The 25,368-nt window shown below is 38.7% G+C and overlaps 1 protein-coding gene across 29 annotated transcripts in view; it reads right to left on the bottom strand.

Moving 5' to 3' along the window:
- The window catches only part of ELAVL4 (ELAV like RNA binding protein 4), a 155,718-nt gene that overhangs the window by 56,417 nt on the left and 73,933 nt on the right, over positions 1 to 25,368 (bottom strand). For 23 of the 29 annotated variants that reach the window (NM_001324208.2, NM_001144777.3, NM_001438739.1 and 20 more), the window contains exon 2: positions 2,159 to 2,399. In NM_001324208.2, the coding sequence (NP_001311137.1) occupies positions 2,159 to 2,399 (241 nt within the window). Of the gene's footprint in view, positions 1 to 2,158; positions 2,400 to 5,497; positions 5,585 to 25,368 lie in introns of all 29 variants that reach the window. The other 6 variants (NR_136725.2, XM_011540895.4, NM_001324212.2 and 3 more) reach the window with 1 other exon arrangement.

The raw sequence follows: 25,368 nt of genomic DNA, 5'->3' as shown, positions 1-25,368 counted from the left end.
TAATTAGGTAGTGTAAATGAAGAATTTAATAAGCACTCTTTACAACCACAAGTTTTACTTCTATTAAACACTGCTGTCAAATGAGGGCAAATATCTCTGGTCTCTCTCTATATTTCCCTGCCTCATTCCCATAAGCTCTCTACAAATAAAAATTTTTTGGGCCTGAATTTAAGAAGAATGCATAATTATAAATTTATGCCTGAATTGTATTTCTGCTTTCAACCCCATAAGCTTCTTCTTTAAGCTCAGATGCTACTGTATGTCTCTGCTTGTGCTGGAGAGGGTGCTAAACAAACCAAAGTTGACAATTTTGGTTTTGTATACCAAATTAAAGGCTGTCTTCGAAGCTGTCACTCCTATTCAAATCCACTCGGTGAACTACCAAATTAGCATTCTTTCAGTAAAGGAATCTGCTTGTTTAAACATGTGTCTTTAGAAAACAAGGAACAACACCATGAATCAGTACTTCTCAAAAATCTCGCTACAGTTCTGAAGGAATTCTGAAAAGGTGATTAATAATATTCACTAATATAGCTGGCAGAGTCTGTATTTTGAAGGTAAGGCTATACTAAAAATACATTTTCTATATAGGAGTAGGAGGAAGAATCATATGGTTAACTGGTTTTAATTTGGTTTGAATTATCATCCTATTATATAAAGATTATTCAGGAATCTAAATATTGGCTTTCTGAACGTATGGGAAATTCTGTTTAAGGATAGATGTTCCAGTGCTCTGGTACAAGATAATCAAAGCCTGGCCCTATTTGGAGAATTTGATAGATACTTTTTTTTCTGTTCTGGCCACTTTCCTTGAAGCATACTAGCTGTACTTACAATAATAGATTTATTTACTGAGGGACCACTGTGCAGTAGACATTGTGCTAGATGCAATATATCTAGTCTCTCATTTAATCCTCACAATAAGCCCTTTGAGACAAGCATTATCTTCCAGTTTTTCAAATAAGAAAATTATGTCTGGAGTGTTAGGTGACTTGTATTTTGGAAAGTAGCAGTGGTATTTAAGTTTTATGATTTTGCAAACTACTTAATTTATAAGGGGAACAGATTTACATGTGAATTATGAGAACAGAAGAATGTATATATCTACACACACACATATAGAATGTATTCTCTGATTTAAAATAAAGATGATGTATATCCCTATTTTAATGATGCAGCTTCCTTTTTAAAAAAAAAAAAACTCTAGGACAGTTGCTGATTAATTAAACTGTCTAGGGAAAGGGAAACAAAAGTCAATACTCAAAACTGACAAGTATTCAAAGTTGGATATGAATGATTTCAGGAGTGGAGTATCAGAGAGTAGCAGCTTCACTGCCATCATTATGTAGCCTAATATATTCCAAGAAAATATTCTCACTGCCAATAAGATTATAGGGAAACTTTCCCCCAAAGAATTATAGTGTCAGTGTCTGGCAAACATTTGGTTCTCAATGAACAGTTGTCAATTAGGAGAAAATCAGAACCTAAAAATCTCATGTATTGAAGTTGTATAGGGTGTTGATTCACTTTCAAGTAAAAATGCCCTCACATCTCAAAGAGTATCTTCAAAACGAACAGACAGATAAAATAAAACAAAATACCTCAAATGCAGATCTTCATTAAGCATTTCCCTCCTACTGCAGAGTAGTTGTATTCCAGAATAATCTGCTATCCTTAGGGCCTGTTTCTCCCCAGGGACAAGGGCAGTTGTGTCAACTGTCCACACATCCACAGTGGCCCCCTTTAAAACACTTGTTTCAGGCACATGGAAGAACACTGGGCACACATGAAGCAAATATTGAGAGGAGGAGAATACATGAGCAAAAACTAGTGTATAGTATAGGGAGGGCAGAGTTGTGGGACTGGAAACTATAGAACAAAGGGAAGGAATGGCTGATTAAGAATAAAAGGAGACAAAATCAAAGGATCATTTTACATGAAGATGAAGATGTACCAAAATCTTCATCTGCTCCCCAGCAGTACCAATCTACAATAAGGTCTTATGTGGTGTATGTAGTGTGAGTTTATGACTGTGTATCCATGCCATCTTGCATGCAGGGTACATGATATAGACATTCAGGTGCACCATCACACATGTGCATTTCTGCTAAGATCTGCACATCTAATGGAACAACATAGCTTCAAATCCTGTGCATACCTGTAATTTTGTCTCTCACAAGTTTGCAGGATTCTATTTCACCAATGCTCCCGAAGAGACTCCTGAATTCTTCTTGGGTCATATTCTGGGGTAAATAGTTGACGATGAGGTTGGTTTTGCTGTCATCTGTGGTTGCCCCTGTTTGCATGGGAGAAGGACAGTTTCTGTTGTTGCTGGAGGGTCCATTGCTTGTATTGGATGTCGGACCATTTGACACCTGAGGCTCCATGGTGCTAATTATCTAAATAAAAATAAAAACAATTGAAAAAGCCTTTTGAAATCTCAGACACAAAGTCTCTTTTAAAAGTTTATTAATTTTTTTGAAAAGAAAGAGAAGAAGATAAAGCAAGATGGAGCAAGAGACTGGGTTGTGAACACAGCCAATTTAGAAGCATGTTTTTAACCAAAATGTTAAACTCCTCTTTCTATTTTTAGGCCAGCCCATAGATTTTGAACACAGACTAGAATGCAGTAGGAACTCTCCCATTATTTTGTTAATGAAAAGCTAATTCCTGTTTTCATTACACAATCACTCTCAGAAATGTATACTTAAGCCACACCAAATTATAATTAAAATGTAAAGTAATAATCATGATTAAAATTATAGTTCCATTAAAGCTGAAAAAGCTAAATATAGAGGACTACACTCACAAGATCAAATACAGTACCTGTTTATTAACTATCTCATAAAATAAAATGACATTAAATTAAGTGGGGTTGTTCAATATGGGAAGGGTTTAAATTTTCACTGATGCTTAATCACTGATCAAATTTTAGATTTTACAGGTACATTCTAGGGAGCTGCAAAGTCATCTAATGTCTTTTTTTTTTTAATCTAGCCATTCTGTTATTGTTTCTCCCAGACCTCTAATAAAACAAAAAACATGGAGGCAAACTTTTCTCTAGGTCTCCACGTTAGGTCCAGCACCGCCTGAGGCTGTCCACTCACATATTACTCAAAAAGGACTTTCTCTTGATTAAAATATTTAATTAAACAAAGATTTCTGGCTGGTGTGAATGTTCCAGGTAGCACGTATGAGAATAAAGAAATGAATGAATCCCTATCCTCAGGGAGCTTATAGTCTATAGAGGACACAGACAGGTAAACAGCTGGTATAGGGCAGTGATCATGCAATACAGAAGCAATTACTTCTGCTTATAGGATAGGGAGATTTAGGGACAGTTCTGAGAAAATGCTGGAATAGGGTTTTATATGAAAAATGAGTTTAAGCTCATGAAGTCAGGTCATGAAGATGCCCTGTATGGAATGACAAACATGGAGAATTGCAAAATTGCAGAGCCAGAAGGCACATAAGGGAACAAAATCTAGCTCAACACTCACATTCGAGATGAAGCCCAGAGATGTCCAGTTACTTCTCTGTTATCATAGAAAAATGGGGGCAAAGTCCAGGCCTGCACCCGGATTTCCTGGCCCCAAACGCAGCCCATAATTCGCAACTTTCCATTTTGTCTTACACCGTCCTCTATTTGTCCATCATAAAATGGCTTCCATCTCCTCAGAAACTGATCATCAACTCCTTGGAAATGAAATCATACTCTGCCACTTACTAGCTGTGTGACCTTGGCAAGGGACTTAAATCCTAAGAGTCTTCATTTTCCTCATTTGAAAAATGGGAACAATGCCACCGTATGGCAAAGCGGTAAGAACCGATCCAGTGATATGACTTATGTAAAGCACCAGAACAGTGGTGGGCACATAACCACAATCACTGATGTTTATTAGTTACTCTGCCAATCATCCAATGTGACTTCTCTCACTGTCTCCTCACAAGAAGGCAATGAAGCATATTCTAATATTCTCTATGTCTTATAGATGAGGAAACCAAGGCATAGCAGACATCTGATAACTAGTAGCTTCCATTATTATTACCATTTGCCTGCTCAGAGGATTTAGGGGGGAAGCATTTTCATTTACTATAACATACATGTAATAAAGTGTATAAATCTTAAGGGTACAACACAAAGAATGTTTACAAAGTGAACACAATTCACAACTGGGTAATTACCTTTCAGATCACAATACAGAACATGACTGGCACCCCAAATGCCTTTCTCAGGTTCTCCATCCCTGTCATTTACCTCACCCCTCAAAGGTAACCACTATTCTGAATTCTAGTCCACAGATTTGTTTTACCTATTTTTTTACCTTTATATACATGGACTCATACAACACATACTCTTTTGTGCCTTTTCACACATGTATGGAGTGTCATCTGCTCTGTTACATGTAACAATGCATTGTTCTTCCCACTGCTATAGCAATTTCCATTGTGTGGAAATATTACATTTTATTTATCTGTTGATGAACATTTGGATTGTTTCTAATTTTGAACTACTATAGATAATGCTGCTATGAGCGTTATGTACAACATTTTGGTACAAAAATGTACATATTTCTATTGGGGATAGTCCTAGGATTCTGTTTTTGGGATCATAGGGTGTATGTATATTTAGCTTCAGTAGATACTGCCAACAGTATTTCAAAGTGGCTGTATCCATTTATATTCCCACCAGCAGAGTATGAAAGTTCCAGTTGCTCCACATCCTCATCAATGTTCAGAGACTATTTTTTGTTTTTGTTTTTGTTTATTTTCTCATCTGAAGCAGAGTGGTATAGTAAAAATGGAATGAGTGTTTGAGTCAAGACAACAGGTGATTTAAAATCTGAGTTCTAGGCCAGGTGCGGTGGCTCACACCTGTAATCCCAACACTTTGGGAGGCCGAGGTGGGCAGATCACCTGAGGTCAGGAGTTCAAGACCAGCCTGACCAACATGGAGAAACCCAGTCTCTATTGAAAATACAAAATTAGCTGTGTGTGTGTGGTGGTGCACACCTGTAATCCCAGCTACTCGGGAGGCTGAGGCAGGAGAATCACTTGAACCTGGGAGGTAGAGGGTACAGTGAGCCAAGATTGCACCACTGCACTCTAGCCTGGGCAACAGGAGTGAAACTCCGTCTCAAAAAACAAAAAAACAAAAAACTTAGTTTTACCACTTATTAGCTGTGTGATCTGAGGCAGGTTACTTCAATACTCTGAGCCTCAGCTTCCTCTTCAGCAAAACTGGAATAAAAAGCTTGCCACGCAGGGTTATCTTCAGGATGAGAGATAATGTACATTAAATGTCTAAAATACAAAGGGCCCAGAGGCATCATAACTATTATTCCTCATCATGCCCCACGTAGGTGAGTGTTATTCTAATTCTTTCATCTTCTGATGGTCACAAATGATAAATGAAACAAAAAGGAAAACATGGCTCAAGAGGAGCCAAGGAAATAAAGCAGACTAAGAAAGATGGGGAGCATCTAAGATTCTTTACCATCATGTAAGTAATTTAAGTGGCTCCACTTCTCCCATCACCAGAATTTTCTTCTTGGCTTCAGGTCAACTTTAGGATTCTAGAAGGCTGGTCCAGACAGCAAGGAGAAAGCAAAAAGCTTCTGAGAAGAATCTTAAATCAAGCTCCCCTCAGGACTGATAGAAGTTGTACCCAGCAAAGCCTATTCAGCCACTTTGCCTTCGAGGCAAGGGTCCAGGAAAAGAATCAGGGAGATGGTCCCCAGGGAAGGAGGCATGCTAAAGGGATGGCATTACAGAGCATCAGCACAACTCCTGGCTAGGAGGCAGGTTTCAGCTCTGCCAAGCTGTGGGGCCTTCTGGGTCTTTGCAGTGCCTCCATTTGCTGTGTTGTCTCACTGCTTCACTGAGTCAGGTGTCCAGGCAACAAACATAAGAAGCACTGCCAACTCGATAATGAACATGAAAATCAGAATTTATCCATTCAGGAGGCCGGACTACTACATTCGATTTAATGGCAAAAACCCCCCAGGCCCACAATCTTTAGAAACTCTTCTCTGTTTTCTACCTTTTTCAGGTTACCCTTCTTTCAGCTCCCCAACAAACACCTAGAAAATATCCCACACCAAGGCAGCTTATTTGGTGCTAGTGATGGAGTATGTGGAAGAATTTCATGTTGAGATTCTGTGGGACCAAAACTCATAAAGGTCACCTGATAGTCAGGTTCATCTTTCGTTTTCAGACACGTGGTGAAAGCCAGCACTTGTCCATGTGAACATCTCACAGGTCCACCTCCTCCAGGAAGGCCTGTGAAGTAACAAGGCTGCAGCAAAGTAATTTCAGTCCCCGCATCAGCTTTGTGGCCTTCCTTGCATTCTATGTGGATTTCCTAATCTATGTTGACTCCAGGAGGTGAGTCCTGTCTGTAGATTAGACAGCCCAACTGGTCCCAACTAGCTTCTAAAAGGAGCCATGAGATACAATGCTCACTACTGAGCTACTTTAGCTGACCACATCTATAAATTAGGTCAAGTCATTCTCATCCAATGTAGATGGAGCTCTCTTTGCTCTGCATCTACACTACACAGTTATTCTTTTGTGTATCCAGAAGGAACTGATGAAAACACACAAATGGACACATACAAAGAGAGTTTTCTCAATAAAAGTGTGCTGTCTGAAAGCTGAGAAACATTTGCAAATGTGTTAATATACATCCTATAATAAGACCCCTCACAGGTCTTAATGATGCATCTTAGGATGCAACACAGGCTGAAAAAAAAAATCAGAAATGTAAAACATCAGAATCAAATCTGACATGTGAATGAAACAAGAGGATTTTAAAACATTACCTGGAAAATAAGAGAAGTTGCCAAGATGTAAAGATATTAAATGCACGAATATGAAACTACAGCATTTTAAGGTTACATGATAGACCTCAAAGACAGGACACCTGTTCTCTCTGCTTGGGAAACAGAGGGACAGAACAGGAGTAGAAAAGATGTGTGTTGGTAGAAAGCACATCCTCCAGTAAGTACAGAGGCTGGCTGGGCAAAATCAGAACACTTGCTTCCTCAGGCTAACGCCTTTGATATTCTAACAGCACAATTTTCATTGCAAATAAATATATCAGTTACTCAAGTGTGCATATGTACTTTAATGAAACATTCTGTGTGGGTCTCACAGCCAACTTTGCAGCTGACCAGGTTCCAAGCCCCTGACTTGCCCTCCTTTCCTCATTTGAATAGCAATTAAGAACAGAATTACAGTCAGCATCCAGGATAGATCATTGAGGAGGTTCAGTTGACTTCGAACTCTAATGGATGTACAAAGCACTACATTAAATCTTTTATGTTTCTGTGATATATTTTAAGAAACATTATACAGGCAGAAAATTTCAGGGATAAACTATTAGAGCGGTGCACAATAACGTAGGCACTCAAATCCTGTCATCGTAAATGTCGATGGTTTGAATGACTAATTACTCACACTCAATGCATTAACCTCACCCCTCCCACCACTCTTTTCTGCAAAATATACAACAAAAGCAAGAGGGAAGGCTTCAGACGTGCAGCTGCCGGATCATCACCAGGGTCGTTTATATCTGCAGAGGGGAGGTAAGGAGCAGAGGCTCAGCCAGCCTCCTGCTCTTGGAAACTAAAAAGCCACCCCTCTGTTCCCTTCTGGCACCTCTCTCAACACAATCCAGGCTCCTTTTATCTACCCAAGTTACCTGTAACACTAGTTCCTGGATATGTCAGGTCATACGCACATTTAAAAAGGGTTTACTTCCACTATGGCTAGATCTGGGTATGTTAGATAAACAGAGATGGAGCCGAGATCTGTGCTGAACTCTGGGGATACAGAGATAACAAAGACAAAGAGCAGACCCTTCTTGAATTCAACAGATACCAGAGAACATTAGGGTCCATGAAGCCCAACCCTGTAATTTTAAAGTGGAGGACCAGAATGTACTTCAACAGACTTGTGGAGACATGTCTACCTCCATACTTTTCTGAGTATAGCACTTTACAGTTCATTAAAATTCATGACCTGAACTGTGAGGTCCACAGCACAGAGATCACATCTGTTTTGTTTATTACAGCATCTCCTGAATGTAGAATAAAGCCTAACAATCGGTAGGTCCCAGATAAAGGACTGTAGAATGAATGAAAGTCCTTACATGTCCATTAGCTTACTGGATCTCTCAAACAACCCTGTGAAGTACAAGCCAATAAAGTACTAATATCATCCCCATTTTACAGATAACAAAAGAACAGGACAGGTAAGCAACCAGTCACCTACTGAGCACCTATTATATGCCAGGCATACACTTAAATATTCTTTCAAATGCAGATTTTTTTTCAATTTTTAAAATTGTGGTAAAATACACATAGCAAAATTTGCCAACTAAATAGTTTTAAAGTATACAGTTCAGTGGCATTAAGTACCTTCATATTGCTTTGCAGCCACCAGCAGAATTCTTGTCATCTTGTAAGTCTGAAACTCTATACCCATTAAACAATACCTCCTCATTCCCCTACTTTCCCCAGCTCCTGGCAACTACCATTCTACTTTCCATCTCTATGTCAAATGCAGATTTTAAGAAGCACTCATTAGCCAGGTGTGGTGGCTCATGCCTGTAATCCCAGCACTTTGGGAGGCCAAGGTGGGAGGATCACCTGAGATCAGGAGTTTGAGACCAACCTGGCCAACATGGAGAAACCCCACCTCTACTAAAAATACAAAAATTTGCCAGGCATGATGGCGGGTGCCTGTGCCTGTAATCCCAGCAACTTGGGAGGCTAAGGCAGGAGAATCACTTGAACCTGGAAGGCGGTGGTTGCAGTGAGCCGAGATCACGCCACTGCACTCCAGCCTGGGTGACAGAGCAAGACTCCACCTCAAAAAAAAAAAAGCACTCATTCAAGCAGGAGGGTTAAAGCTTTGGCTGGCATGAGTCTACTATTGAATGCTTTGGCCCTATATCCTCAGAAAACCTATTGAATGCCTTGGCCCTATATCCTCAGAAAAATGTACACTCAAACAGCATTTTATGTTCACTAAAGCCAATCTATTATCTCCAGATTGAAAGTTCCCAAATTGTTCCTTCCCATTCGAACCTGCAGCATTTTTGGAGCACCTCTGTGTAGACTAGCACTCTTTCACTTCTTGATAGGAAAGTTTAGAATACGGCCTTACCCCAGCCCTTCCACTGACCTACCCTCTGCCCTCTACCTACCTCACACCAAGGTGGCTGAGAACTGTTAATTAAGCATGTTGGCAGCATATAGTGTCAATCATCTTCACTCGGCCCCTCCACACTTTTATCTCAGCCCTATTTAATGAGTCAAAAGGAAAAGAATAGAACCTGGTGGTTCAGGGCAGCCTTTGCTCTTACTGGTATAAAAAGGACTCAGTGAGATAATGTACATGGAGCACTCAGCACTATTCCTGGCATGGTAATCCCTCCACAGATGCTAGTGGTGACTGATGCTAATATTATTAGAAGAGAACAAGGAGAAAGATAAAAACCAATACCTAAGAAACTAGGTTAAGAGTTAGACAAGAAAAGCTGATTAGCAATATAATCAAAAGTAAAACCTTTCCTTCCTTCCCAAACCACTCTTTTCATATGATTTCTTGCTCTCAGAATTCATTAATTTACTAATCAAATAAATATTTATTGATGAAGGGTCCACATGTCAGAGAAGAGACAGCAGCATGTCTTGTGACTAGGAAAATCTTTGAAGTATATTAAGCAAGACTATTCTAAAATCTAAAAGTGTACGGATGTACTAAAAATGTATTTAAAGCTCCCTTAAAACTTTTTTTCCTTCCTTCCTGCCTTCCTTCCTTCCTTCCTTCCCTTTTTTTTGACTGGGTCTCTCTATGTTGCCCCAGCTGGACTTGAACTCCTGGGCTCAAGTGATCCTCCCACCTCAACCTCCTGAGTAGTTAATATTTATTCCATTAGCTCATGACTTTCTTACACCTCCTTCCATCCTCCACTCTTCACAAAGCTTTAATTTTCTCAAGTTTGGGGCAATCAGGCTAGAGTTACAGGATTGATCCCCCTCCTCACAGTGGAGGAGAATCATTGTTGCTACCATAGTCTTCTTACCATCCTGCCAACCACACCATATTGTGTCCTTGTCCTAATATTTTCCCTAAAAATGGTAGTATAAAAATAAAGATGGAAAGTCCACAAACTGTTCCTTCCCATTCAAGCCTGTGACATTTTTGGAATACTTCAGTGTAGACTAACACTCTTTTACTTCTTAATAGCAAGGTTTAGAACCCTGTCTTACCCTATCCCCTCCACTTTACCTACATACGACCCCACGTTATTGTTTTGCATTTAGATATTTTAATCTAGTTAACCTACACCTACTTTCAGGATTTACTTCATGAGGCAAATCAAAGGTTACAACTTTACATTACAGGAATCTGACCTGATACAGAACTCAGTACTGACATTCATCATCTAAGAGCCCAGTGCAGGGTTCTTGTACACCTGTCACCATACTTTTGGCAGTCCTTAACTCCTGGTTTTCTGGCGGAGATATAGCCTCACTGCACAATTCATGCGAAAGGATCAAGAGGAAAGAACCAAAGAAGGTCACAGAACATGATGTTTCTTTTACAAATACCCTTATCCTCTACTTTCAGCTACCTTTAAAAGTCAGTATTCCCAGAAACGAGAAAGATGTTAAAGGAATGTACTGATTGCAAACATGTCTCAGGTGTGTACACCTGAGACTCATGCATGTATTTTATTAAATATTTTAATGAGTATGTAAAGGTGTTTTCTTTTACCATGTTGGAAGGATTTTTGAAAATATATGTATAAAGCTAACCCTTATGTAATAGAACAAGCTCTCTCAGGTGCATGAAGAATAATGTTTACCAAGGGCAGTCACTGAATTGAACCATTAAAGAAATAGATTTAAATTATTAATGAGAACAAAAATAAAAGTCCTAATTCTCTTTGTAGGAATTTCCCACTTAACCCTTGTAAAATTCTGACATGTAGTATGTTAGACTCTGGTGGATGCAATAGCCCAGACTACTGCATCTCACCCACCTTTCCAAGCCTGAAAAACAAATTCCCAAAGTTAGAAAATTACACAGCAGGCTCTGTGTTCCTGAAGACAGACATTATTTTTTTTTGTAAAATTCCTCACTTCTCTTCTTGCTCCTTAAAAGATACTAAAAATGTCGTTACAATTCCCCAATTTCATATTTCTTTAAAGTGTCTTAGATCAGCTCATAAAATCTATTCTCTCCCGTCCTTCTTTTCAAGAGGCTTTAATTCGCTCAAGTCCCTTCAGGTTAATATTTTTTTTTGAAATGCAACACTTTCCTGGTTATGATTCAACTGTGAAGGAGACATATGTTATTAATGGGACCCAAGGGGAGGAGCTGAGACTGATGATCTGATAACTCTAGGAAAAGGGAACTTGGAAATACCACCCTTCCAACCAAATTACAGGTGATGACTCACAAAGACCACTGGACTAGGGGACTGTGGCTAAAGACTGCACTCATGTTTCCCAAAACCATTCATACCATGTTTCTGTAGCTTCTGCCAGAAGGTAACTAGAAAACTCTAGAAAAAAATATTTAATTCCATCCAAGAAACACATGCTGACAGCTTAATAATACCTTTGGGCAGAGGCACAAATAACCTGAAAGACCTATTTACTCTGGGAAGTTATGTGGTAATAAATTCTCAGCATATCCTTAAAACAAGTGTATTCAATTCAACACAAGTTTATTGAATGCAATTATAAGCCAAGGCATTCTTCTAGAAGGTGGGAAAACAAAAATAATCTGGTCCCTCCCTGTAGAGGGTTGAAGCTGGGAGGATGGCAGAGGAGGGCAGGCAAACAAATAATTCATTAAAATCAATTGTATATCCCTTTGTTTTAAGCAGTCTCCTTCAGAGTTTCTCAAATGACACCCCCTCCTCAGCAAAAGCATATAAATCGTATACACTCAGACTAATCCTACCTGTTTTGATACTGAACTGACTGTCCTTTTCCTGGTATAAATGCCTACATCCTAAACAAATGACTTGTTTATTTGTCAACTCTTTGTTTTGTTTCTACAATGAGAATATAGCGCTTTATAATCTAAAAGGAACTTATATTTGTAACAATGAGGTAAGCGTGAGGCATCCCTTCTTTCAAACAGCAACTTCTGCTCTGGAGATGAACACCAGGCATGCCAAAAGTATTCTCAGTGGTGGTAGTCAGGGCTTTTAAAAAATCAGCAGCCACTGGAGAGAACAAGAGGCATTAATACTTAAAATAGCAGGGCCAGCACGGATATGAAAAGCATAATCAAAATTTAATTTCTCATAGGCATCATTCTCAAATTCACGGAAATCCAAGTTTTAATCTTCTTCCCCAGACACATCACACCCATTTCCCCTCCTAAATAAATACTGGCCTCCTTTACATTTTACAGTGTTTCTTTAGAGCTTCATTTTGGGCCTAAGATGATTTCCTGGTGTGTCCATCCTGATGCAGTTCTGGTAAGACCCCTGGGTATTTGGTTTTAACTGACTTTTACAACAAACTCTCCATAGCTGAGGGACAGCTTGATCATTCAGCACATTATAAAGATGAGGGAACGTTTCCTTCATCCCCCACAATTCGGTTCTCCTTTCCAAAATGGCCAGTAAATAAATACAGTACCGTACTTTCAATAAGCTTTCTTTGTTTAAGTCAGATTTGAAAAAGACAAATGTTTGCATTTTAATAAAAATACAATTTTGTGGGCAAGCTCAGCTTTCCTGCAAAAGTATCAGCTCTAATAAAAAGAAAATCGATTGGAAAACAATTTCTTCCCATTCTGCTCCCTAAGACCCTCTGAACTCTGAAGGTTTAATGTGGATAAAATAACTAAAATGCCTAATAATAATCTCTGGATACTTGTTGGGATGGGAACCAGTTGTGATGGGAAATACATTATCTTCATCTTCCATACAAAGAACAGTCTTTCTCATAATTAATGAATCATTTGAAAAACTGCCCACAAACTGATTAAGCCAGACTTATCTTTCCAATTAAATGCATAAACAATAGCCAATGGCACAATTCATGTAAACATTAGTATTGTATATTTATAAAATGCCTGGCTAGTGGCTCAGTCGCAGCAAACTCTTGAGGTTTACTTGTAAACAGCAATGTGCTATTCCACATATGTATCATGATCTAAAGCATTAGGTCACATCTCTGAAATTAAGTTTTATGCACACTCAGATTAAATTCTTCAGAAATCTACATAGAAATATATTTTATTTTGAAAATTAACACTTGTTTTCTTAACATAACCAGGGTGAGGAAGAGGGGAGGAGTAAAAGGGAGTAGAGGGAGTTTGTGTCTAGAAAAATCTGTGTAGAAGTCTTGTTCTTTTTAAGAGAAATTGTGTAAGGTCAATGGCTCTTCTAATTGTGCAATTCAAAAAATTAAGTCATTCTGAAGGTGAAGATAATAAGTGAAATAAAATGGTTCTTAGCACCTCAATGCATATATAACTGGCCGTGATAAATTATACTCATGGACAATTCATATAGCCTCATATAGCTACATGTTCATTCATGAAAAGATCCTGAATGTTATTCTGATAGAGTAGTTTTAAATCTGAAAATTACTTTATCACACTTGAAAGTTTATTGTTAATTTCTCCCTTCACTGCTTCTTTCTTTCTTTCTTTCTTTCTCTTTCTTTCTTTCTTTCTTTCTTTCTTTCTTTCTTTCTTTCTTTCTTTCTTTTCTTTCTTTCTTTCTTTCTCTCTCTCTTTCTTTCTTTTTATAAGAGATAAATGTTAGAAAAAAAGAACATTTTGACTTGATAGGAGAACTTTATCCCTCAAACTTCCTCTGAGGGCCAGTTGGATACCATTGCCCCTAAACATTCCCTGGGAAGGTAGTGGAGGCAGGAGTAAAACTGGACTCCACCAAATCAATGTTGGTGAGAATTCAGGCCTGGGTGAGGAGAAGTGTGCCTTTGAATTATTTGTGGGCAACATGTTTACATGGAAACTAGAAATTTAAGGTTTGCAACTGTCAAGTTCTAAGATGCAGTGAAATAGTCTTTCTCATAATTATGGGTATAAGGATAAATTGGCACATCTCTTCTTATGTTCATATTCTTGGACCCACTGGTCCATTCTGAAACTCAGAAAAGAATCCAAAATTCTGCAGACCAGAAGTACATACAATGAGTTATATTAAGAGGAGTGAGAAAAACGGAAACAGCCCAGGAGTCTAACAAGGGGGATGGCTAAATAACTCATTGTGCAGTTTTTTGATACAGTATTCTGCAATTGCTAAAGTTATGTTTATAATGGGTTTTTATAATGTGAGAAAATGTATATGATCAATGTAGAAAAAGAAGTGAAATAAAAGATTGATTATCTCAATTATATAAACAAGTACAGAGTAGGAGGGAAAAATAAAAAACACTAGAATAAATGGCAGAATTACAGGTGATTGTTACACTTTTCTCCATCTTTATTTGTCAACTCTGTTTTGTTTTTACAGTGAGAATACAGCAGTTTTATAATCTGAAAGGAAGTTGTTTTTTAAAAAAGAAAGAAAATGTCAAGTCCTTCAAACCAGTTTGGAGTCACAGTATTAAAAATGATTCTGTCTCCTCCCCAGAGCTATCCTGTAGGATCTCTCCTTGGACACACTCTGTTTGTTCCTACATTAGAGTACTCATGGGAGCCCAAATGAATAAAAATCACATTTCTAGAAACAGTCTCTGGTTCAGTCTCCCCTTCACCTAAATCACTGTGAATTAGCAAGGTTACAATCTTAAGTCTGCCTATCGCCCGGCAGCAACCTTCATGAGGACAGCAAGGAGAGAAGATGATTTATAAGAAAACCATTCCCTGGATCAGGGAGTGAAAAGTACTGATCCGTTCTAAAAGCTCCTGCTGACAAACTCTGATATTATGAACATTTTGCACTTGGACAAAAGCTCCCACTTTTGTTAATTACATGGTTTGAGCAGGAGTCTGCTTTCAGGATCTGCCCAATCACACAACAGCCATTTATTTTCCCAACTGCAGCTGACAAAATTTCCCTGATCTCTGTTCTGTGCTCCATCTTCAAGGACATCTTGTGAATGTATGACACTGTCAAGTGGCATTCCATACCACGCTTTTTAAGCTTCTCTCTCTCTTTCTTGCATTTGAACATCCTTCTAATACGTATCGATTAAAAATATCATGAACAAGAAGCAAGCAAAGTAGAAATGGAAAAAAACAAACAAAATCCAGAAATCACAAGTATCGGAATACTTACGTCTGCTCTGAGGCAAGCACTTTTTATGACATTAAACCACTAATATTCTCTGTCCTCTGCATGATGGGTTTGCTTTTGTTTTCAATATTAGGAAAATGGGTGCCAAATCTATAGTTTTCTGTGTGTAAAGAGCATGGGACCTCACTGCAAACTTCTGGTTTTTTTTTTTTTTTTAAACATAAATTTTACTTCTGAATTTATCTTTTTAAAATCCTCTTAGTTTCCCTTAATTTCACTTTCTTCATTGTTCTATTTGTTTGTTTGTTTGTTTTGAGACAGAGTCTTGCTCTGTCCCCAGGCTGGAGTGCAGTGCTGTGATCTCTGCTCACTGAAACCTCCGCCTCCTAGGTTCAAGTGATTCTCCTGCCTCAGCCTCCTGAGTAACTGGGACTACAGGCATGCGCCACCAAGCCCAGCTAATTTTTTTGTATTTTTAGTAGAGACAGGTTTTCACCATGTTGGCTAGGATGGTCTCAATGTCTTGACCTTGTGATCAGCCCTCCTCGGCCTCCCAAAGTGCTGGGATTACAGGTGTGAGTCACCGCACTCGGCCCATTGTTCTATTTTTTTAAAAAAACTCCTACTGTATGTATTTTTATGATTTGCCACATAAAAATAGAATTTTAGATTATAAGAGAATAAATAAGTTAGTATTTCTGTCTTCACAATCTTTTGCCTTTTCAAAATATGCTTTTGAAAGGTCACACTCACTAATTGGGCAAAAGTCAAGTTGGCATTTTTAAAAATCAAAAATAAAACTTTTAAATTATAAAAAAGACATGATAAAATTTCAAAAATTACATTTGTATTATAATTCAAGCTGCATAATCTACAATTCTCAGATAAGACCCTTTTAGAATTAATTTACTATGTCCCTAAGAATATTTAGTATATGATACATGTATATTATCATGTATATTTATCAAATGGATATAATACATGTATTTTGAAACTAAAACATTACTTTTCTGAGTAGGGTAAGCTTGTCCTTTGAATCACAGATACAAAGAAAATTTGTTTGGTAAACTCTTGCAACTCTTAATATATTCTTTTTATCCCAGAAATTTACCTTTTTTAAAAAGTAAAATGTTAACACATATTCAGAATCATCCATTGTCAATTAGAGCAATCTAAAATTTCTTTAGTTACAGGTATATATTTGAGGGCAAGTTATGAGACACAATTTAATGATGTTAATTTAGTACTTCATTGGAGCAGCCCCTCCCCCAAACTGAAGTTAGCTCTCAAAAGAAGGAACAAAAGCCAAGCTAAGTTTCCTAACATTAATGAGTTCCTTCGATGGGCCAGAAACCATTATGTTGAATGCCAGAGATATGAAGGAGAGAGAAAGAGTTCCTGCCTGCAAGGAAGTAAATAAATAAGTAAATAAGAAATTACTGTCTAATGTCATAAGTGTAGTAATGGAAAAAGTACATACAAAGTGCCTGGAATATGACAAACACTCAGTAAAGGGAAATCCTGTTATAATGCTGATTAAAAAGTGCTTTGAGTTACACAGGAAAATATTTAGGCAAGTAATTATCATTAAGTCCTTCCAATGGTACTAATAAGAAATGGTGAGAGGTGTCTTTACATACATCACTTCACTTAATTCTCACACAACTTTGAGAAGTGGGTATTGTCATTCCTCTCATTTACAGATGTAGAAGTGCTGTCACTCTACACATGATGGAGTAATGAGTCTTCAGGCAGAGTCCACTGTCACTTAACTAGGACTGTAACTTGAACCCAAGGCTGAAACCAAATTTGTGCCCTTTCTTCAATCTCTAAGTCTGAGGACTTTTCCTATCACTATGAAATGCAACCTAGTAATCTTAGAGAATGTAAATTATCTAACCCTATTAAAATCAACTAGCCTGTGTATCTGCTGTTTATTAGTCAGTAAATACTGCCCAATAAATGGGTGTTACAGGAAAGACCATAATTCAAAATTCAAAATTCTACATGGTATAATGGAAAAAGCATGAGATTTGGAGGTGATCCGACTTGGGTTGGAAATCCACCACCAGCCTTGACCTTGGTTTAGCCAGTTCAGACTCTCTGCAGTGCAATTTAAGTTTACTCATTTGAAAAATGTGAACAATTCTATCTGTCTTGCAGGGTTGCTGTGAGAAAAACAACAAATCTGAAGGCACCTGGTTCAGAGCTCAGTACACAGTAAGCACTCAGTACATGTTCATTTTCCTTGTCCAAAAGGTAACATTCTGAAATATGTGCCCATTAAAATGTGCTGCAGGTGGCAAAGTTGACTAATCTAAGAGCTGGTAAGATTTATCCTTGGAATTTAATTTCTGAAATAGAAAAGTATACTTAAAAACATTACTACTCATCACCTATGCCAATAGCTATTCATCTTCACAATGCTCCACAAACATCCACTAATAAGCTCTCACAATAATGCCAAACCAGTAAACACATAGCAAAGGGGGAGGGGCTATGTGGATTCTAAAAAAAGAAATAATGAAAGTAGCATGTTTGACACTTACAAACACAATTTCTGGTATCTTTTGCCCTTTCAAAAAGCCATCCACTGTGAATGGCCCAAGTGAGGTACTTCAAATGTTAATAAGAGTCATTAGGGTTTCTGCTTTCCTACAAGGAAAACCATCATGTTTTCCTGGGAAATTTCAGATCACTGCCACAGTGCACTCTGCATACTGACAGCAGAGGGCTTTTCCGGCTCCCCACAAGGAAACTCAGGGTGGAAGAGCAGGGTTGTTCTTGGTCCATCCTCCACTTGGACTGCTCCTTTCTTACTGTATACCCCAATAAGCAGCTAAACTGACAGAATGCACTTCCAGAGGATTTTTCCAGGGCACAGTCAGAAAGGTGTGGTGGGAAGTGTAGAGATAACAGAGCAAGTGTCATTCCCCCTGAAGAAATGAGACTCTTACAAAGCCCTTACAAAACCCTCACTTACAAAATAATAAAATAATTTTTTATAATAATTTATAATAATTAAATTACATGCTGGACTCAGAGGATTTTGTAAGTACGTTCACACTCACCACCCCACTTAATTTTCCTGAAGATCCTGAGAGATAGGTGGTGTCTTCCCTTGCCATCACTTGCAGTTTACAGGTGAGCAAACTAAGGGTTAAGGAGCAAATGAAAGGTAAAGCTAACTAGCCAATATTCACATGGTGCAGAGCCTGGATCTGAACTGACATCTTCTGGTCACTGACTCCCATCTTCCTTCTTTACCCACTACAAGTTCCATAAGCCCTGGAATGCACATTCCAGGCCACAGCCTTCTGTAGGCTTCTGCAGCCAGCAATGACAAACCAGAACACACTGTGTTCTCTCCTGTGCCACACTCTGCACATAAGCACTCCCTTGGCCTGGAAAGCCCTCCTCTCTCTGCCATCAGACCTAGCATGCCCCTTCTCCAATCCCCCATCATGGCTCTTACCTTTGTCTCTCACACACATTTCCATTACGGACATGTGCCACATAGCATTGAAACTCTCCAGCCTCCTATCTTTCTCTATCACTGGACTGTGAGCTCCTTGAGGACTGCGACTGTGTTTGATTCATTTGTAATCCCAGGGAACAGCGCAGAGCTCATGATTTTGCTGGTAGAATAAATGAATAAATGGATGACTCTCTAGGTCCTCACCTGCTTTCTATAGCCAAATCTGCTTCCCTTGCCTGTTCATCACCACTTTGCTCTCACCATAAACCTCGCTTATCTCTCCTCTTCAGAATCAATGCAAAAGTAAGAGTGAATTCATTCTTTTAAAGCTATATTGCCCTCATCATTGTTGTCTCACTCAACTTCCTTCAAACTATCCCAAGAGGCTGTTTTCAAAACCTAGGGCCTTCCATTTTCCAAGTAAGGCCATGTTTACAGCCTTTGTTTCTTCATCTCCACATAGGAAATTAGATCTCCTCTGTTTCAGGCCTAAACTCATATTTTATTTCCACGTTGAGTCTGAATTTGGCTGAAATCTGAAGTACCATCTTGAGGTTCACAGCCCTGCAGAACATTTCTACCTTTAAGAGTTTCTGTAAGTCACAAAGCCAAAGCCAAAGCCAAAGCCAATGGGGGCTCTTGACATTTTCCTGCAACAACTATTAGATCTGGGCACGCCTGGCATGTTATTTCTTTTAAATAAGTGAATAAATAAATTATCACATAATCACTTCTACATCCATTCAATTAACATCAATTCAAACATTTATTAAATACTAATTGCATAGCATAATAGTTAAGAAAACAGTCACTAGAGCTTGACTGCCCAGGTTTAAATTCCTGTTTAGCTGTGTGACCTTGGACAAGTCACTTAACCATTCTGTGTCTCGGTTTTCCAAATGTAACTTGGGGCATATCAATAGGATAATGTTATAGGCTTCACAGAAATGTGGTTCACAGGAATGTGGCAAAGATTAAATCTATTACTGTTGGATAACTGAGTTCCATGGCACTTGATCACTGCCCTCTAGGAATTTAGTCTTGGAAGGTTAGTAGACATTTGAAAACAAAGTTCCAGATGCAGTGAGCCAAGTACCATAATCTGAATGCCTTTGGCAGTATGTCCCTTCCATGTCTTTGCATATATGTCCACTGAAATGCTTTCGCCATCACCATCTAAATTACCCTGCCATTTTGCAAGACTCCCTGGAGTCCACCTCCCTGACCTACATAGCTTCAGACAACTCCTCTCTCTCCTCTGTCCTGGTACTTACCACCCTATATTGAGTCGCTTTTTACCTGCCTGTCTCCCCACTGACAGGGAATGCCTTGAAAATAAGGCCTGAATTTTGGTTGACTTCTTACTCCCAGCAGGCAGTACATGGGGAATTCAACCAATGCCCACTGAATGGATCAGCTATCAGAGGCAGGTGCAGGGTGCTAGGAGAGTTTAGAGGCAGAGCACACGGGGACATAGGAGGAGACATCCTTATCTCCAACCCATCAGGCTTCTTTCTCAGCATGCTGAGATAATCGTAAGAGGAATGGGTGACTCTTTATTTTAAAATGCTTTTTTTTTAAGCGTTCTCTTACTCTTCCTGCTCTGTTTATTTTAGATGAGTGTAGCCATCAAGATTAAAACAAATGTGAACTAGTGATCAAGGGGGTCAAATAAATTCTGAGTGAATCACAATACTAACATGTCACTAACCATAAGAGGAAAAAAATATTTAAAGTTTCATTCAGTGCCCTGTACAAAAAGTGCATTGACAAATATTTGGAAAATCATTCTTTTATTCTTAAATGTGTTTCATGGGGGAGTTTTGTTTTGTTTTTAAGGTAATTTCAGGTCTACACATTGCTAATGAAAACAAAGGAGGTTTGGGATGAGAATAAACTGTGCTTTTTTCTCTCTTTCTCTTCAATCTTAATTTTAATCAGGTAAATTGATTTTAATCAGTGAAATTTAAAAGTTTAATTTTAATCTTTAATTTTATGTAACAGTATACACAATGGAGACAGGAGATACAATACATAAAGGTTTATGTCTACATTCTAAAACTAGTGCTTTCCAGTTGCTCTCACCAGAGCATCAATTAGGTTTATGTATAATTCCAGTTAGCACAGGAGTCCTTCCTTGAAATTTTTGACATATGAAAATAACCAAATCATCCATCCCCTTCATCCCCCACTAAAAAGTAAATACTCTAACTTATTACTAGAAAGAATTGGACTCAGGATTTAAGACTCCAGAGCCATTTTAACCAAGTGCTTTTCTTCACAGAGCCCCAGGCCTCTAAAAGCCTGTGACACCAAGAGGATGGGGCCAACACAGTCTTTGACAGAGACCAGTCTCAATCATACTGATTTACAGCAAATCTAATTTTATTTTCTTCACAGTCCTTTCTGAGATGACATATCTTTGGTTTTGAGATTATCTGCTCACTTTTTTGAAAGTTATAGAATGGGAAGTAGCTCTCATTTTTCTCTTCTCTCCCTGTGAGCCCCAAAATAAATTACCAATACCTAAAATGCACACCCTAGGGGGACTGAGCTTATTTTAAAAATCTTCCTTTATTAGATGCCTACTAGGTGCCGGGCCCCGATTCAGGTTCTTTACACATGTTAATTAGTTCATCTTCTAAACAAGCTTTGGAGGAAGGTATTATTAGCCCAATTTTACAGATAAGGAAACTGAGGCTCAGACAGGCTAATGACTTTACCAAGACCCCACTACAAGTAAGTGAAGGAAAAAAACACCCCATTTTGCAGACTCCTAAGATGCCCTTAACCAGCAGAACACTCATGGAAAGGTAGAATCCTATGATAATGCCAAGGCTAACTCACCTTCTAGGTTCAGGCTCCTGCAAGGAGCCATCAGGAGATCTTAACAGCCTTAATTGAGAAGACATTCTGGCTGACCCTGTTCTTAGTTGAATGATTGGCCAAATCCTCCTCCTGACCCTCCTGGAACATTTGTCCCATTTCACAGAATAGGACCTCTCTTCAAAGGCTGGGACCCCTGGCCTCTTTATGAGTTCTCTATCTTAAGTTTTCCTGAGGCTCAGACACCTCAGTCCAATTGTCCAATCATTCCACAGATGACCACCTTACACCACATGCAGGTCAGGCAAGCCTGTCTCCAAGAGTTAGTAGTTGGACATATGAAGCTCAGCCTTTCAGAGTAGGGCATTGACGGTTCCAGCTCATCAAGCAGAAGCAAGGCACTGGCTGAACTATTGTGGCCTCACTGTGTGCCACAAACAAGGACTCGTTAGTGTAACTCTCTAATCTAGCATCTTTTATTTTTTAAACATCATTTCACTATGTGAAATTATAAAACACGACATAATATATAATATCTACTTTTATTTTTTTTTTTTAAATAAAGATACAGAGTCTCTGCCACCTAAGCTGGAGTGCAGTGGTGTGATCACAGCTTACTGCAGCCTCAAACTCCCGGGCTCAAGTGATCCTCCTACCTCAGCCTCCTGGGTAGCTAGGACTACAGGCACACACTACTATGCCATGTTCTACTTACTACTTACTTACTCTATTCTCTGTCTTCTTCCTCTAAAATGAAAGCTCCATAAAGGCAAGGACTTGTCTTAGTCACTGCTATCACCATTACCTAGAACAGTGTCTGGCAGGCACTCAACAAAAATTTGAAGAATGGGACACAAATTAATATTGTATGATAACAATAATGATGATGATCATTATCACTTTATATGCCAAGTAACTGTTTTAAATCCTTAATATTCATTGGTCCATCACATCCTCACAACAACCCTAGTTTACAGATGAAAATGTTGAGGCATAGGGAGTGGAAATGATTTCCCCTAGGTCACAACTGATAAAGCCAGGATTTGAATCCAGGTAGTCTTGATCAAAAGTCTCTATTTCCTTGGGAAGTTGAAGCTGCAGTGAGCTGTGATTGCACCACTGCACTGCAGTCTGGGTGACAGAGTGAGACCCTATCTCAAAAATATCCCTATTAATAACCACTAGGCTAAATGTTTCTCATTAATTCCTACCTTTTAAGGGATGAGTAAGATAAAATAGGAGACAGAACATGGGCTTTGGAATGAAACAAACTAGGTTTTAAATTCCCAGTCTGATATTTTCCTAGCCATGTAACCTTGTACAAGTTACTTAAACTACGTTGTCCTCTTTCTTCAAAATGGGAATAAAAATATCTGTTTCTTAGAATCGTTGTGAGATTTAATGAGATAACCTAAGTAAAGTTCTTTCTGCAAAGTCTGACACACACATTACATAAAGGGTCACTATTATTGTGATGTGTCATTGTTAACTGCGTGGTACAGACAGCAAGTGACATAAAGGAGTCTAGAGGAAAGAAGAATTACTGAGGAATTACAGGTGAGTCATGGTGATCAGGGAAAAAGTTTAATGTAAATAGATATACTCAAGATCTTCAGCTCAAAGTTACAGAACTGGGGTTGGTGAGCAATAGCTGTGTCAAAACCAGTCTTCACAACAAGGGGGATTTGGGTCCAATATCCCACTCATAAGCTAGGGGGCACCTGATGGGAACACATTATGAAACACCTAATTAATATCTGACTACATCAGTTAACAATCAATTACTGAGCACCTACTTGGTGCCAAGCATAAAGATAAACTCAGTGCTGATTGTTGAGGCAGTGGTGAAACCTAGAAAAATAAACATTTGATTATGGAGTGTGGAAGACCAATGATGGAATGATGCTGGCAGTGTTAACAGAGATGGCTACAACCCACAGTGAGTTAAGGCAAGCCTTTCTGGGTGACACAGGCCTCCTATTTGTCTCATGAAGCCAGGTGAAGAAAGCAGAAAGATGTTGGAGACCGAGGGATCTGTGTGAGCAACAGTAGGGAACACCGTGGTGCAGTTCTACAGTGGAGCATGAACAGAAGGCAAAGAGACCCAAGATGGGAGGCTGGAAAGGAGAGGAGTCTGGCCACAGAGGGGCTCCTGGGTTTTGTGAAGCTACCTAGACTTGGTCCTGAGCCACAGATGAATTAAGTAGCCATCTCTGAAATCTCATCTTAATTGTGTGCTTATAGCAAATACACTGTTTCTCCATGAAACACAAACAAAACAGCACTGGGAGAGTGAAAAAATACATTATTTTTAGGCTTACTGCCGAATTTTCTTTAGAGCCCTAATTTCTTCCTGAGTAGATCACAGGTATTTTTAGCACTAGTGTAGTATATCACCACTTCATGACACTGTTCCCCTTTTATGCTCTAAAGTTGTTTTAAATTCAACTCTGTTCAGCAAATGTTACCCTCCCTTTCCCAGCACTGTACCCTGAGCCACTTGGTAAATATTTGCTGAATTGGGCTGGATTCATCTAGCAACTACTGTATAAGGTAACATTGTGTCAACAGGCAAGGATGAAACTTAGGGGTAGGTGGAGATAAACAGATGAATATTTGAGCTCACTCACCCTCAATAAACTTGAAATTCTGATGATGCAATTGAGACATGTATATGACAATATATACATACCCCAAGGAGGACTGTAGAGTGCTGCATCCTATCAATAGTGACCTGTGCAGGTGGTGGGAGTCTGAATCCCACTTCTCACAGCACATTCACCAGATATTCAGCTCTTTGAGGACGGGGGGCCATGTCTCCTTTACTACTACATATTTACAGACTACCAAATAGTAAGTCTCAGTAAGTTTTTATCAAATGGGTCTATTTAATCCTAACAATCCTGAGTGGTATTAATCCTTTTAAAAATGTGGAAACTGAGGCTTAGAGAGGTAATATAACTTGCTTGAATTTATAAAGCTAGTAAATGGCATTGTAAAAATAACATTAACAATGATAATAACAATTTTCCATTCTAAGGAAGCCCACCTTCCATTTATCATTCTCCAAATGTCTCTGCCATGGGATTTGCTTTTCACACTAAGATGGAAAATGTTCTCTCTGGCTGAATGAAACTTGAAGTTTACAATTTGAGTTCTTGAGCTCTTGTTGGCTTTTCTGTGCTGCCAGTTTTAGGAGCTCCAAAAGGCACTGAATGGATTTGGGACAGATGGATCTGCCCACATTGCAGGTAAGAATACCCATGCCACTAGGCATATACAGCTAAACATATAAAAATGTACAGTGTTTCTTTAGTACAAAGGTTCCCTAATCCCTAGAGGAGAATTAATCCAACTTCAATTCAATGTAATAAATCTTTAGTGAATGCCTACTGTGTGTCAGGCACTTTTCTTAACACTTCTGAAGTAAAATATACAGTACTCTATGTGCCTGTCCTATCTCCTGCTGTGATAAAATAAATCCTTATTCATCTTCTTACATAGTAAAATACAAAGGGCAGCTAGTAAAGCCTCAAGGACAGAGACTGACTTATCTTTGTAGAGGAGTACAGAGCTAACACATAGTAGGCACTTTAATACATTTTCATGGAACTGAATAAATTTTTGAAATTTTATTCTGGAGTCAGACAAATCTGGGTTCAAATCAAATCCTGGCCCAACCAATTACTGGCTGTAATTTACCCACCAAAACCTCAGTTAGCTTGTCCATAAAATAGAGAAATTAACATTTACCTTTTAAGTTTGTTCTAAGGATTAAAAGGGATGGTGTTTGTAAGGCACAGTGTCTGAC

This window comes from Homo sapiens, chromosome 1 (genome assembly GCF_000001405.40).
Source record: "Homo sapiens chromosome 1, GRCh38.p14 Primary Assembly".
Lineage (NCBI taxonomy): Eukaryota > Metazoa > Chordata > Mammalia > Primates > Hominidae > Homo > Homo sapiens.
The sequence above is the reverse complement of the archived record's forward strand: the minus strand, read 5'-3'. Positions and strand labels throughout refer to the sequence as shown.